The sequence below is a fragment of the Homo sapiens genome, chromosome 5 (assembly GCF_000001405.40).
Source record: "Homo sapiens chromosome 5, GRCh38.p14 Primary Assembly".
In the NCBI taxonomy this organism is placed as follows: Eukaryota; Metazoa; Chordata; class Mammalia; order Primates; family Hominidae; genus Homo; species Homo sapiens.
Window position 1 is genome coordinate 96,720,009 of NC_000005.10, and position 16,585 is coordinate 96,736,593.

The 16,585-nt window shown below is 38.8% G+C and overlaps 1 protein-coding gene across 33 annotated transcripts in view, besides 1 other annotated feature; it reads left to right on the forward strand.

Annotated features, from left to right (window-relative positions):
* The window catches only part of CAST (calpastatin), an 813,255-nt gene that overhangs the window by 758,580 nt on the left and 38,090 nt on the right, over nt 1–16,585 (forward strand). For 12 of the 33 annotated variants that reach the window (NM_001423254.1, NM_001423259.1, NM_001423253.1 and 9 more), the window contains 6 exons: nt 2,631–2,690; nt 7,481–7,522; nt 9,145–9,201; nt 9,604–9,717; nt 10,772–10,852; nt 16,164–16,232. In NM_001423254.1, coding sequence (NP_001410183.1) covers nt 2,670–2,690; nt 7,481–7,522; nt 9,145–9,201; nt 9,604–9,717; nt 10,772–10,852; nt 16,164–16,232 — 384 coding nt within the window. In that variant the 5' untranslated portion in view covers nt 2,631–2,669. Of the gene's footprint in view, nt 1–2,630; nt 2,691–6,785; nt 6,852–7,480; nt 7,523–9,144; nt 9,202–9,603; nt 9,718–10,771; nt 10,853–16,163; nt 16,233–16,585 lie in introns of all 33 variants that reach the window. The other 21 variants (NM_001423250.1, NM_001423251.1, NM_001423252.1 and 18 more) reach the window with 4 other exon arrangements.
* Nucleotides 14,016–14,548: an enhancer, noted in NCBI's record as "OCT4-NANOG hESC enhancer chr5:96069728-96070260 (GRCh37/hg19 assembly coordinates)". NCBI's record gives its function as "activates a minimal SCP1, AML or CMV promoter by ChIP-STARR-seq in naive H9 embryonic stem cells {active_cell/tissue: H9 hESC(naive)}" and the evidence as "EXISTENCE:reporter gene assay evidence [ECO:0000049][PMID:30033119]".

Below are 16,585 nucleotides of genomic sequence, written 5' to 3' on the forward strand. Positions count from 1 at the left end.
AAATAATTGTTGGGAGTGATTATTTCTACTAATGCCATCTTTGACTAGGCTATAGCTTTCATACGGGCAGGGACATGCCTACTGGTTTTACCTCTGTGTCCCCAGCACCTGACACAGTACCTGGCACAGAGCATATTCTGGATAAACACCTGGGGGAGCCAATGAACTCTGGTAAAATCTTGGACATGAGATTCCATTTTTCTCACCTGTTTAAAGCCTGTATATTAAAGCTTGTATTAAACTTTATCACTAAGGTGCTTTCTCTTTGAAGATCTATGGATTAACCCTTCACAATTTTTTATTATAAATGTTATCCACATCAATGATACGAAATTCAAACAATGCAAAAGAGTATACAATGAAAGTGTATTCATTCATTCACCAGAGATTACAAATATTGAAAGTTGCTTGTCTTTACAGAGAGAATAAAAATTGAACAAGCTGTAGCCAGAATCGAATGGATTAATAATGGGGTGGGCATATTCCCTACTTCCAGCTCCCATGAAGCAGCTTTCATATTTCAGTTTTAAAATGGTTAGTGCCTTAGTGAGGGAAGAAAACTTTCATGCAGTAATCTGTGCTGCCAACAGGGGCCAAGGCCCTCAGCTAAATTCCCACTACACCCTGCGCCATTGCTGATTTTCAGCTGTTCTGTATAGAGATTTTACTGTTCATGGGGGCCCTCTGAAAGTTTTCTCCTTTCTGGAATTTGAGGATCACTTCAAGGTATTGTTTAATAAAGTAACAAGGCAGGCTGGACAATTCAAGGCAATGTGATTTTATGGATGATTTAATACATTTGGATGTGTGGAAAATATGTCTACCTAAAGATTTTCAGCTTCAGAAGCACTTTCACATAGAGTGTTTGGTTTCTGTGTTGGTGTTGCATGGTTGAGGGGAATCATTAAAGGAATGGAATGCAGCTAAGTGGAATTTCTTGAGTTTGAATGGAAATCTGTATAATCAATTCCAATTATGGAAGGATAGAATTACATAAATACAGGGACATTAAGCACCATAATGTTTTAAAATATTTTCAAGGAAAAATATGGATATTCATATATTTATCCATTAATTTGATAGAGGGAAAATCTGTCTTGGTACATCTTACAGTTTTCAGTACCAAAAAGAATATGAGAGAGGCCCTTCCATGCCCTGCTACAGTGACTGGGGCTTCTTGTATGTGTGCGTGTGTGTGTATTTTGGTGGAAGGGAGTGTCCAGTTGGTGCCTAAGGGTTCTCAGGAATAGTTATGTTTATATGATTATTTTTGAAAAATAAGTATACTAAAGCTTTGGATTTCTGTCTGTAAATTATGATAGTTTAACTACAAGCATCAATGTGTTCTGCATTAACTGAGGTTTGTGGGGAAGGTGATTTTGTTCATGGGCCATAGACTATAGTGGGTTTCATACAATCACCTTGAGTGGTAGTGTATTGGGGGTGGGGGAAGGTAAGGGAGAAGCAGGAATGGGCTCATGCTGCCCTGTGACTCAGCCTCTGAAGTGGCTCTGGACCAGGCATTAGGGACACAGTGAGGTCCATCTTACAGGCTTCCTTCCCTGGGTGTTGTTGGCAGGGTAGCAGCTGTTTACTGACAGTCAGTTACTTAAGAAGGCAGCTCATGCCAGATGGAATCCCTGGGTTCTAAAACCTAATGGACTTTAAGTGTTAAGGAGGTTTAAATGAGTCTGGGTAGGAGTTTGCAAAGATTATAATTATCTGTTTAATATTAACCAGTGTAATACAAGTTAAGTACTAGAATAGTACTCCAAACCATACAAGTATCCACACACACATCCCAGTACTTAGATGACTGGATCACAGGGGCTGATTGCACCACTGCAAGCATCTCAAGGAAGGGTGTTCCTTGAATAGTTACTATTTATCACCTCTTGCCTTCTAAGGAAGAGCCTAGATGAGACATAATGCAGTAGAATTCCCTCTGTAACCTTGTCTCCACCTTCTCTTTCTTACATGACACTGAACGGACAGTTCACATCCACCCAAGTCTATTTACGGGAGTTTTGTCCTTCTATCTTATGTATTAGGAATAACACACTGGCAATTTAATGAGCATCTGCAATTTGCCAGACATTTTGCCACACTATCTCAAATACGACCCTGCAAATAGATGTTACTGTACTTTGTATGTAAATGGACCTGGAAGACAAAGCTCAAAGTCACAGAGCTTGTAACTGACAGAGCTGGGGCTTGAACAAAATTTTGTTGAGTTGCAAAATCCATGTTTTTTCTGAAAATAACATAAACAGTAATTATAATAATATTTACTGAGCATTCATTATGTGCCAGGGAGTAATTCTAATAATAAACTTACAAGGTAGTTGTTAACTACTAAAGAAAAATTGAGGTTGGGAAACTGGAGATTATAAAATTTAAGTATCTTACCCGAGATTGTTTAGTAAATAGCAGACCCAAATTTTGAACCTATTTGATCTGGTTACAAAGGCTTTCACTACTGGACACCACCTCCTACTAGATTTTTGTGCTCTAAACTGGGTAAAACCAAGGTAAAGGGCCAAGGGCAGTATGGTTAAGAGGAGCTGAAGGACCATGTAGATTGTAGGTTAAATAGAATCGAACTTTCTATTTCTTTCTTTCCTTTCTAGGTGTCAGCTTCCTCTGGTGCAACCAGCAAGTCTTCCAGTATGAATCCCACAGAAACCAAGGTATGAAGAATGCTAATTGAGTGAGTGCTAATTTAAGTTGATTGTGCTGCAAAGCAAAACAAATGTAGACTAATTGTTGATGATGAGTTATATATGCTAGGAAGTTTTAATTATGGAAGTAAACATTTTCTTCCTAATTTATGGGGGTCTTTGAAAACTCAGCTTTCCTTCCAATATTTACCTTACACATCATCTACATGGTTTTAGGTTATCTAGAAAAGTAGAGTCACCTAGAGTTGTTTTGTTTTGTTTTGTTTTGTTTTGAGACAGGGTCTTGCTCTGTCACCTAGGCTGGAGTATAGTGGTGTGATTACACTCACTGCAGCCCCAACCTCCTGGACTCAAGCGACCCTCCCATCTCGGCCTCTTGAGTAGCTGGGGCTACAGAGGCACACCACCATGCCCGGCTAATTGTTTTTTTGTTTGTTTGTTTGTTTGTTTGTTTTTGTAGAGACAGGGTCTCACTGTGTTGCCCAAGCTGGTCTCAAATTCCTGGGCCGAAGCAGTCCTTCCACCTGGGCCTCCCAAAGTGCTGGGATTACAGGAATGAGCCACCGTGCCCGTGGCCAGTTTTGTTTTTGTTTTTGATCCTAGATTTGATTGAGTTTTTTAATTGAAGATATTCCTCTAAGTACATTTCTCTACATTGAAATGAGAATATAAATTATTAATTCTTGCTAAAATGGTCTTACTATTCTGAGCACTTAAAAATAAATATAAAAATGAAAGATTATACTAAATGAACATAAAAATATACTGGTTATTTCGGATGCTTTCCCAAGTTGTTTTTTCTGAAATTTGAGTCTTGTGGGGTACCATTTTATTGACAAACCTTTCTTGAGCTCTATTTGGGATTTATTCTTAAAATTATTTTTTTGAATTTCAGAATTAAAAATAAAAGAATTTCCTCTAGTGGTATTGTCCACTTTGTTCTGAAGAGCTGGCTGCAGCTGCCTTTTAAACCCTCTCCCTAAGTTACTCTAGCTCAAGCTGTATCTCTTGGGAATATTTCAGGGGAGGGAATTAAAGAGGGAGCATTTTCAAAATTCTCTCAACTAATGTTTGTGTGCCAATATTCTTTAATACCTTTAAGAGCTACCCCAACTCCATTATTATTAAATTGCCCTTGTTTAAAATTACCAACCTACTTTTGTTTTCTGTCTTTCATATTACTATGCTATCCCTGTAGTTTCCTATCCCAGGTGATGTGGCACTATAACTTAGTACTATCAAAGGATTATATGGCCTCATCTTGAATCATCTTCAAAGAACATTACAAATATCTAGAAATACACTATCCACATCTAAGTTCTTATGTCATTTAGCATTCATTTAAAATTTTAATCTAAAATTATCAGTTTTTAAATTTAGTATTTAAATTTACATTGATTTCTAAATTGCTTTCAAAATATACATTATATAATCTATAATTAATGTTAGCTGTCTCTATTTAATTATGTTAAGCTTAATCTTAAAAAATTAAAAATCTTTTTTTTTCCTTGAGGCAGGGTCTCGCTCTGTCTTCCAGGCTGGATGTAGTGGCATGATCACAGCTTGCTGCCACCTTGACCTCCTGGATGCAAGTGATCCTCCTACCTCAGTCTCCTGAGTAGCTGGAACTCTAGGGGCACACCACCATGCCTGGCTAATATTTCTGTTTTTCTGTAGAGACAGGGGTCTTGCTATGTTACTCAGGCTGGTCTCAAACTCCTGGGCTCAAGCAGTCCTCCCATCTCAGCCTCCCAAAGTGCTGGGATTACAGGCATGAGCCACTGTGTCCAGCCTAAAATTAAAAATCCTAATTTTAAAAAATATTCCAGAAGCATCTACAAAATAAAAGTTCTCATTAAGACCAGGCATAGTGGCCCACACCTATAATCCCAGCATTTTGAGAGGTCAAGGTGGGAGGATCGCTTGAGCCCAGGAGTTTGGGACCAGCCTGGGCAACATAGCGAGATCCCGTGTCTACAAAAAATTAGCCAGGTGTGGTGGTTTACTCCTGTAGTCTCAGCTACTCGGGAGGCTGAGGCAGGAGGATGGCTTGAGCCCAGGAGATCAAGGCTGCAGCAAGCTGTGATTGCACCACTGCACTCCAGCCCAGGTGACAGAGCAAGACCCTGTCTCAAAAATAAATAAATAAATAAATAAATAAATAATCTCATTGAATTTAGAGATCATGAAAACCAAAGAAAAGAGATAGGAAAGAGAGCCAGAAATATAGGATTTCCTTTTTATTCTTTTGGTTCTTTTTCATCCTGTTGCCTGATTCTAATCCCCTGTGCCTCAGCTCAAGGACCAATGTTTATTTCAAGCGTGGCCTGTTACCTAGAACAAATGTCAGCAAACTCTTCACCCTTCTCTAAGCATTAATCATGAGAATTCTCGGCAGTCCTGTGAAACTGGAGGAAAGTAGGAGAGAGAAGAGGGGGAGAGACAAAAATAAGATGCACGTAATGAAGTGTCCCCAGTGGCTAACTAGGGACCACTTTTGGCCTCAAGTCTCTTTCCCTGGAACCTGGTTCCATATCAGCTGTGATATTGGACAATCTCTTTTTGCTTTGGTTTCCTTATCTGTACAGTTTGGAGGAAGGTGATAATAGTACCTGCCTCACAAGACTGTGTAAGGAAACATAATGTATATTGGACAATTCCTGTCCTAAGCAAGTGTCCAGATGGGATTGTCTGTTGGCCACTACTGGGGAGAGAGTGCAGTGCGATGACTAGAACACACAACCTCAGGTCCACCATGGATGTCTTTAGGGAGTTATTTAACTGCTCTAAACTCAATTTCTCATCTGTGAAATGGGTATAATAATACTTGTCTCATAGGATTATTATGAAGATAAAGTGGGTTGACACATGAGAGGTGATTAATACACATTAGTTATTATGGTCATCATTATTATATTCAGCACAATCACTACAAAAATAAATTCAGCAATTACTGATTTAAATATAGATTGCATTATAAGCTGCTTGTGTCTGTGAGCATACATTCTTAATTGTAGTGTAGGTTCTCCCATGCAAAATCTTGATTGCCAAATTGCAAGCTATTAATAGATTCAAAGCACTATACTACCAGCTGGCTTATTTTCCTTGTTAATCATTTAATAAATTATATTTGCATAAACTGAAAGGATAGTTCCATAAATAGAAACTCATTAATGAGAATGTAGTGTGAAAGGATCCAAAATTTAAAATTTCTTTAAAAACATTTCAATCATAAGCTTTGTTTCCTTCCCAAAATAGTGTGTTAGCCTAGCAAGGGGCCATTATTTGAAGAAAGTATGTGTCTTCATTACTGAAGTAGAAGACATGATAAATTAAGAGGATAATTGACTTTAGCCTCTTCAAATAAAAATAAATAAATAAAAACCACTAGTTTGTGCTGATACTACCAAGCAGATAAAAAGGAAAGAAACAGCAGGAAGCATCGGACCCTAGTTTGTAATCTCTGACTGAAAAGTTCATGAAATGTTTAATCAAGTTTTATTCATGATTGTATATCTTGCCTATATTGAGAATGCATGCATGTACTTACTTGTTTTTGCACAAGTAATGTTTAGTTGGATAAAACTGTAAAATATCATACTAAAGATGCTAAGTTACAACCAGTTCTGTAGAAGCATTTCTAGAACTTTAAATTCGATCTCTGCATACAGGACTGTGATGTGCCCAGTAAAAATCCATGCACTAAATATTTACAATTTTGGGGGGATTATGTTGACAGAATTTCATAAAACTTTCCGTTACATCTGTGACTATTTGATCATAACTAAACATTGGATACATAGGAAAAAATGATATTCATGTAGTCTTTACACAGGGAAAGGAAAGGAATGAGAAATTAATTTTATTAATGGAAACCTTCGCTGAAAAAAACCTTCACTGAAAAAATGTAAACACAAACTGAAATATCTGCTTAGGACCTTAGAATGTAAGTGCCTACAGCTTCTTGGAGTTATACACATATGCATCGAGTAGATGCAATAGATGAATAGAATTGATATAATCATTTTAACCCTTTTTGTACATGTTACTTATTTGACTGACAGATAAAATAAAATTATACCTGGGGCTGTGCTCTTATATTAGGCCATTCCAGTCAGCCAACAGATGGAAGGACCACATCTTCCTAACAAGAAAAAACACAAAAAACAGGTGATGTTGTTCATTGTACTAGGGCATCTCTGTTTACTAACGGTTACATCACCCGCTCAGCATGTGCTAATAACTGCAATTCACAGTCTTCTGTTAACACTGAGATCCCATCATGGACTTTCTGTAGGCTTAGCTGCCCATCAGCCACATTCTGGCACTAAAAGTAATTTTCACTGCTTTCTGTGCCCTCAATTCTGTCACCATCCCATTGTTTTACACTGTCAGCCAAAACCCGTGATGAATATTTCACTGATAAAAACACCGTGTTAGTGGCATGGAAACACAGTGCCCTTGGCTTTGTGATGAAGGTTTTTATTTTCTGTTGCCCATTTATGTGTTACCATGTAAATAGTAATAAATCTTTACATATCTTTGATATACCTAGCAAGGAGATATAAATTGCTCCCTGAATAGTAAAGCAGAATATTAACTAGTATACCTAATTGTTTATCTAAAGAGTTGCAATTTCAAGCAAAGTGTAACAAACTTAACTGATAATGTTTATAATTACATTAAAAATCATCTCTTTTGAGTTTCCTCAGTTGAAGAAAATCTGTGATAGTCTTTGTAAACTATGTCTATCTTTCTTTTCTTCCTTCCTTTTTTTCTTTCTTTTTTTCTGAACTTAGGCTGTAAAAACAGAACCTGAGAAGAAGTCACAGTCAACCAAGGTAAATAGTTTAAGTCTGTTAGTTAGTTATTTGGATTCTTTTTAATAATAATGAATAATCAACTTCCTGCCTTGGCACAGCTGTGAATGGTAAAGGGGGTTGCTGGCTAATTTAATTAATTTTTAGACCCTTTTGAATGGCTGTGTACATGTAGAATATATAAAATATAACATTAAGTCCGTATATTGTTAAAAAGAATATATAATATTTTATAAATGAAAACTATTTCAGAAGCATTTTGTTCAAATCTAGTTTTTTGTTATATGTATAGTGATTGCTTTAAAAAAGAAAAAAGCAAGAGGAACAGAAGAAAAAAGGCAAAGAGTAGTAATGAATATCCAATTCCAATTCCAATGAGACATCAAGAATAAGGTGTCTGCTGAACTCAGCACCTAGATGGCTTAGGGATGAGAATCTTTCCTAAGAGGCTGGCTGGGTTTATCGTGACAGTCTTACCTCAGTTGGTGGAGCTAGTTAACAGTTACACAGGAGGCTAGCTTCTGTTACTTTCCTGACCCATGACTGTCCAGAATGAATGCCATTCTGCCTCTGCATGGAGGTGAACCCCAGGTTGTGTACGGCAGCACAAATGTTTCTCTTCAATAAGGTGCTGCATTTTATTTTGTCAAGCACTTAAAGCAAGTACTAAGACAAGACCACAAGGTTTCCTGTGGAAAAGCACAGATATTTGAGCCCAGGTACTTCAGGCACAGGTGAGGGTGAAAGGTGAGGCTTGTCTGATTTTGTGGAAGGCCTCCTGGTGGCCCCTGGGGATGGTAGAACATAGGGTACTCCGAGTGAAGAATTCAGCAGCTAAGTGGAAGTTGTCTTCTATTCCACTTTAAATACTTTTATCTACTGAATCGCAAGAAAATTGGGTTTCTGGTGGTAAGATCTTCTCTACTAACAAAGAAACAAAACTCTGTAAATCCTATGAAAGGAGTTTTTTTTTTTTTTTGCTTTTGAGACGGAGTCTCGCTCTGTCGCCCAGGCTGGAGTGCAGTGGCGCCATCTTGGCTCACTGCAAGCTCCGCCTCCCGGGTTCACGCCATTCTCCTTCCTCCGCCTCCCGAGTAGCTGGGACTACAGGCACCCGCCACCAAGCCTGGCTCATTTTTTTGTATTTTTAGTAGAGACGGGGTTTCACTGTGTTAGCCAGGATGGTCTTGATCTCCTGACCTTGTGATACGCCCGCCTCGGCCTCCCAAAGTGCTGGGATTACAGGCGTGAGCCACCGCGCCTGGCCTAAAATATATTTTCTAGAGTGGGATTAGCTGTCAACAAACTCAGTAGTCACATGGCTCATGTGTTATCTGTGTACATTTGTGAAAAACAACCAGTAATTTAGAGACATACGTGTATTTGAAAATATTATTCAGATGAAATACTGAATTTTTCATTATTCTGATAATCACCATTCTCAGAGACTGCTGACAGGGTTACTATTGACCTGATACCACATGTCTACTTCTGTGATCCTAAAGAGTGGGCCTGAGTGGGCCTAAGCGGGCTTTTCCTGAAAAAGGCAGAATGTTTTAGTTGGAATTTTGTTCTTGTTCTTGTTTGAAAGTATTACAAGTTGGATTCCAGTGTAATCAAGTTTAATCTTTTGAAATTGACAGCTGTCTGTGGTTCATGAGAAAAAATCCCAAGAAGGAAAGCCAAAAGAACACACAGAGGTAAATGATTATCATCAGGACTTAATTATAAGGCAACCTCTTTTGGTGGGATATAATTAAAATCTTTCATTAATTCAAAACTAATCCCTACAATGGATAGTTGGATATTAGTTTTTTCAGCTAAAATGGTGCCATCCTGTGGCAATAGCAGTGTTTACAATTTATGTGATTCTTGCTGAATTTTGGGGGAAGGATTTGCACTATTTCAAATTTTGTACCTAAAGTGAAATTGTCACATGTACATCACACTAATTGAAATTTACATAATTTAGAACCACAGACAGCACAACTGTTATGAACAATTTTTATTCTATAGAGAAAAGTATCAGTATTATGTTTAAGACTACCATCTTGTTAACAATGTCTTTATATGTGTGTGGGCACCTGTGTGTGTACTTTCAGCCAAAAAGCCTACCCAAGCAGGCATCAGATACAGGAAGTAACGATGCTCACAATAAAAAAGCAGTTTCCAGATCAGCTGAACAGCAGCCATCAGAGAAATCAACAGAACCAAAGGTAAATGAAGCAGATTGATAGGAAAACCTTAACATCAACTGGATAATAAGATACGGTTCCCCTGTTCACACTGAGGTGTGTAGTTCAATCTATGGGGCTGTGCTGAATATATTTTGTATTATAGTGATTTGGTATTATTATTTTGTTGGTTTTTCAAATAGACTTGTAGGAACTTGGATGCATGGATGGCTTGAGAAGGGCATCAGATTGGTCTAGGGGATGCGCTGTCCGTCCTTCTCCTACTGCCCAGCAATAACCAGCTGTGACTGCAGGGCAGCAGGCTCTGCTGTCTCCCAGACAGGCAGCTTTGGATTGAGGCTGCCTCCTGGACCCCCCACACCTGGGCTGGGGAACATATGTGCCCTGAATTATCTGGTTCTTTAAATGGAAATCCTAAAGCATTTTTAGGGTCGTGTTGTAGAAGAGCTGAACTTACAGAGCCAAAAATTAGAAATTGCTTCCATACTTCTGTAGTTAATAGCAGCCACCTTTTAGAAGAATTAACATCTACAAGAAATACTTTTTCATTGAGAGCACTTGGAAGATAATAACGAGGTCTGCTTCACAGTATATTTTATATCAGAGATCACAGATTTGTGATCTACCACTTAAATGCCACATGTATATTTTGTTTGGCTTACAATGTTGTTAAAAAATTATTTTTAATTAATTGCCAGCAATCAAAGTCAGGGCATTTCACATAACATCCCAAATTGTAACTTCTCTTGAAAAATCAGACTATCTAGTAAGAGTGAGCTCACGTGGCAACAATTGACTAGAGCCATTACACCTGGTATGTGTGCTCCAGTTTACCACAATCCTTACCTAGCCTGATTGACCTACGCAAGTTACCTGCGTGAACGTTTTAGGCTCTTGAGTCCAGCTTTATGTGGTGCTTAGCACTGCACCATGTACAATAGAAGTGAGCAAACATTCCCTTATGGTGTCCGTGAGGGTGAACTGGCAGATGTTAGTGACATTTGAAACTCATGATCTTGATAATAGCCATGCAGAGATACTTAGCTCTGTCAACCTTTTATCCTCACTGTCTTAGACTAAACCACAAGACATGATTTCTGCTGGTGGAGAGAGTGTTGCTGGTATCACTGCAATATCTGGCAAGCCGGGTGACAAGGTGAGCACACACAAGCAGACGGAAACGTGGGCCTCTGTGCTTCTCAAGTTTCTTTTATGAGAAACGTATGCTCAAATAACCTATCATCTGGCAAAACTGAACACTGCTTATATGTAAAATTTTGTGAAGAGCATGCATTTAAGGGATAGAGAGTGAACAAGATACCAAAAATAATTTGTAAATTTATATATTCAATAACTGCTTACTGAGTACATGCCATATATAACGTACTGATATCAATACCAAGGACATTAAAATGTGAGTTGACTCAGACTCTCCCTTCCAAATGTATAGATATGAAATAAAGCAAATACAATTTCCAGGAGCATTTGAATCGGCTTTTTCAGCTTTCAATGCTGATGCCAGCTGTCTTGATACTAGTGTATCACAACTATGACATCAACATGAATGGATATGAGAAGTTTTCAAAGGAAATATTTCAAGTCCTCTCAGGATGAAGTAGATGTGTTGAGCTGGGTGATTGTGGGCATAACTTCCTTAGATTTTTTGAAGAGCTGCTTCCAATACTTGCCCAGGAATATAAGATGAGAAGTTATCTACCTTTTCTACCCATAGCAATATAGAATTTTTTTTTTTACCTTATCCTTTAAGGTTTTTTTTTTTTTTTTTGCATTTATTTATTTATTTATTTTCATTATACTTTAAGTTTTAGGGTACATGTGCACATTGTGCAGGTTAGTTACATATGTATACATGTGCCATGCTGGTGCGCTGCACCCACTAACTCGTCATCTAGCATTAGGTATATCTCCCAATGCTATCCCTCCCCCCTCTCCCCACCCCTCCACAGTCCCCCGAGTGTGATATTCCCCTTCCTGTGTCCATGTGATCTCATTGTTCAATTCCCACGTATGAGTGAGAATATGCGGTGTTTGGTTTTTCGTTCTTGCGATAGTTTACTGAGAATGATGATTTCCAATTTCATCCATGTCCCTACAAAGGACATGAACTCATCATTTTTTATGGCTGCATAGTATTCCATGGTGTATATGTGCCACATTTTCTTAATCCACTCTGTCATTGTTGGACATTTGGGTTGGTTCGAAGTCTTTGCTATTGTGAATAATGCCGCAGTAAACATACTTGTGCATGTGTCTTTATAGCAGCATGATTTATAGTCCTTTTGGTATATACCCAGTAATGGGATGGCTAGGTCAAATGGTATTTCTAGTTCTAGATCCCTGAGGAATCGCCACACTGACTTCCACAAGGGTTGAACTAGTTTACAGTCCCACCAACAGTGTAAAAGTGTTCCTATTTCTCCACATCCTCTCCAGCACCTGTTGTTTCCTGACTTTTGAATGATTGCCATTCTAACTGGTGTGAGATGGTATCTCATTGTGGTTTTGATTTGCATTTCTCTGATGGCCAGTGATGATGAGCATTTTTTCATGTGTCTTTTGGCTGCATAAATGTCTTCTTTTGAGAAGTGTCTGTTCATGTCCTTCGCCCACTTTTTGATGGGGTTGTTTGTTTTTTTCTTGTAAATTTGTTTGAGTTCATTGTAGATTCTGGATATTAGCCCTTTGTCAGATGAGTAGGTTGCGAAAATTTTCTCCCATTTTGTAGGTTGCCTGTTCACTCTGATGGTAGTTTCTTTTGCTGTGCAGAAGCTCTTTAGTTTAATTAGATCCCATTTGTCAATTTTGGCTTTTGTTGCCATTGCTTTTGGTGTTTTGGACATGAAGTCCTTGCCCATGCCTATGTCCTGAATGGTAATGCCTAGGTTTTCTTCTAGGGTTTTTATGGTTTTAGGTCTAACGTCTGATCTTTGACAAACCTGAGAAAAACAAGCAATGGGGAAAGGATTCCCTATTTAATAAATGGTGCTGGGAAAACTGGCTAGCCATATGTAGAAAGCTGAAACTGGATCCCTTCCTTACACCTTATACAAAAATCAATTCAAGATGGATTAAAGACTTAAACGTTAGACCTAAAAGCAATATAGAATTAGTAATCAGTTTGGAGAGCATGTAATCAATTTGAAGCCACAAGTAAGCAAGTGAAGGAACAATGAGAAGATGGGAATGAAAAATGTAAAAGTAATATAGATTTATCTATACTTTTGCTTCTGTAAATGGGACAGATATCCTGCTACAGCTAAATGGTAAAGAAGGTCATAGGGAAAATGAGTTTTAGGGTAAAAGTATGGCACATCTCCCTGAAACATCATTTTTTTCCTTCTGGGATTTTGGGAGAAAAGGCACATTATTTTATCCAAATTAATACAGGTCTCCTATGGAGCAAAGGCAACATTTACAAAAACTTTTAAATGAAAATATCAAACTTAAAATTGTTTTTTCTTGCAATAGATCACTTGTATACTACCTTGAGACTCATAGCCTCACTCCAGGAAGACACAGCACTCTCTTGCACCAATGAGGAATGCTTACATGAAATGGTTTGAAAATGGATACATTTAAGGCAGAAGATTAGATACGTTAAAATAGATTTTTAAATGTAATCAATGTTTTCAGTTTGGAAATGGATAGATTTAAGGCAGAGGATTAGGCCCGCTAAAATAGATTTTTAAATGTAATCAAAATTTACAGTTTTGAGCTAAATGTAAATTAACCAGTGTTATAAGTGAAAACTAAACAATAAAATTAGGAGAGGCTTATGTGGAAGTCTGCCGTGCATTGACTTGTGCTGGAACTTGCAGCAAGTCATTTTACTTTACGTTGCCTCTGATTCTTCTCCCATTAAATAGGATTTAATGACTTGCCTTCTTATTTTAGTACATAGCATGTTTAAAGTACCATAAGGCAGGCAGATCACCTGAGGTCAGGAGCTCAAGACCAGCCTGACCAACATGGAGAAACCCCGTCTCTACTAAAAATAAAAAATTAGCTGGGCATGGTGGCACAGGCCTGTAATCCCAGCTACTCAAGAGGCTGAGGCAGGAGAATTGCTTGAACCCGGGAGGCAGAGGTTGCGGTGAGCCAAGATCGCACCGTTGCACTCCAGCCTGGGCAACAAGAGTGAAACACTGTCTCAAAAAAATAAAATAAAAAACTAAATAAGGTACCATGGTTGGTTCTGCAGGATGCACTAGCTATAGGCTGGCCTGTCTAGGGGGTGGGGAAAAGACAATGTACCTGGGGCTGTATTTCAATCAGATGAAGAAAGGCCCCCACAAGGTGTTATTTGGTGAGGAATGAAGGGATTCTATCTAATTCAGGGAATCCACAAGAGCTTTGGAAGAGTAGATCCAAGTTCAGTTAGGCATGGAAGGATAGCTGGGATTGCAGGTGTTGAAAAGTGTAAGATGTGTTCTGGGCACAAAGTACATTCCAACGTGGGTGAAGCACAGAGGAAGTGAATGGTGGGGCTGTAAGACCAGAAAGACAGGTTGAGCACTGCTGTGGAGAACCCTAAGGTGAATTTGTACATGTGGTGATTCAGCTGACAGCGGGTAGCCTTTGAGAACCTGAGAGAACAGATGGGGTGATGCAATTGAATCCGAGCTGCAGAAGGATTAAGGGACTGCAGTTAGGTGGATGGGATAGAGATAGGAAGGTAGAAGGTTGGTCAGGGACTGTTTCAGTAGTCCTGATGAGTCATATTTTAGCCTAAATTAGAGCTGTGATAGAATAAGAAAGTGGGGAGTTATCCAAGATGAATTGCAGAGCAAAAATCTTCAGGTTTTAGGAAATGATTGACAGAAGTGGGCAAAGACAAAGTAAAATCTAAGATAACCTGGTGCTTCTGAGTCTGATTGCAGGAGGTTGGTAGCCACACGGTAAGGGAAAGGAGGCCCCTAAGGTGCTCATTGTCAGGTTTGTGCAAGTGCAGAGTTGGCACCTGAGAATGAGTGCCTTTTTAAATTGTGAGCTGGGCACCTTGCAGTCCAGTCCCTAAGTTCCCTGGGTACCATTGGCAGGAGTACAGATAGATGTCAGAGGAACTGAGGAGGAAAGAGGTGTCTCTAATTTTGGACAAGCTGAATTTAAGTGTTTGAAGTGTCCAAAGAAATATGTCTAGCAAGACAATTAAAATACTGTTTTCTAATAGAAAAGAATGAAGTAGGAGGAAAGGGAGAGGAAGAGAAAGAGTGGATGGAATAGAAAGATAGTGGGGAGAGAGGGAGGGGAAGAGAGACATTGAGAAGGAAGAGGAAGGTGGGGGAGAGAACATGAGTGAATATCTGCATGAGGTAGTGGCTGAATCATGGAAGTGGTTTCAATTATCCAGACTCAGGCTCACACCCTAGTGGCCCCCACAGTGTTTCTAGCATTGCAATTGTAACAGTCACTTATTTAGCACTTACAATTACATAGCAAGTACTTACATAGTGCTGAGCATGTGCCAAACAATGGTTTTCATACTTCGTATAGATTCACTTATCTAATATCTCCAAGGAGAAGTGACTTGCTAAAGCCTCAAGCAGCCATGCATGTCTCAACTGTTATGCAAACCTTGGCAGTCAGAGCCTGTGCTCTTCCTGTGCTTTGTTCCCTGAGTTTGGATACCTTCAAATGGGAAATGGTCCCCTTTTATCTTAAACCCAACAACTTCACCCATTTAGTTTCTGCCAGTCTCTGAAAGCATTTGCCTCTGGCCATAGAGAATGATTTTGGATAAGACCACCAGCACAGGGCAGAAATGTGCAGAGTGTATACAGTGGGGACCAAAGTAAAAGAGATGCCAGAGGTAATGGAGAACAAAGGGCATAGATGCCACAATAGGATCAGAATGGTGCCGAAAGGTGGCAATGGGGAGGGAGAGATGCTCCAAGGGTCAAATTTCAGAGATTACATCTGGATAAAAGCATGGAAACTGCAGATTGAAAAGTTGTTTGCAGTCTTTGATAGAGCAATGGAAGCAATGATGAGCGATCAACTCATTTTAAGGAAAGAGGAGGTGTTGAGATGCCGAAGTGAGGGATATGGAAGTCTTGATGTGTGGGGGCAAAGAGCCAGAGAGCAAAGCCAGAAGTGGCAGCCTATAGAAAGAATTCATGGATGTTGTAAAAACTGGCTGTGGGCCCTGGAGAAGAACAGCGAGGAAAGAAACAGTCTTGGATTCAAATCTTCATTCTGTCCCTTACTGTGTAACCTGAGGAAAGTGGCCTAATCTGAGCCTTGCTTTGCCCATCACTAAATGAGACTAATATAATTAAAGCCCTTCTGAAAAAGGATATAAAACACACAGCACAGTTTCTGCTGTAGAGCGGATGTTCAGTGTATGATCAATGCTTGTTAATATAATGAATTTATTTTAAAATTTGTAATAGTATTGAGTTTTATTAAGGTATGTGAGGAGTTGTTAATTTCTCAATTCTCACCAGAAAAAAGAAAAGAAATCATTAACCCCAGCTGTGCCAGTTGAATCTAAACCGGATAAACCATCGGGAAAGGTATGAAGACAACAGTGTCCTTCTACATGAGACAGTTACTCATATGCTCTGTATTTATCATAATCTGATTTCTTGTGGGCAAATAATATGAGGGGGGTAATTTAAAGGACCATTTTAATGAATTATTGTTTCAAGCTAATATTGAAAGTGTGGGTTGGAAGTATGGTTTTCACACTCATGTTTGTAACACTTGCTATTATAACCCCTTTTTTAAAAAAAAACAAACAAACTCCAGTTTCATCCCATGGAGTTTACATTCCAGTTTCTCTCCTGCAAATACACTTTATTTAACCAGAGGTATTACTAAAGAAGTAAGGTACTTCTTTTTTTCTGAAATTCCTAAAAGAATCAGT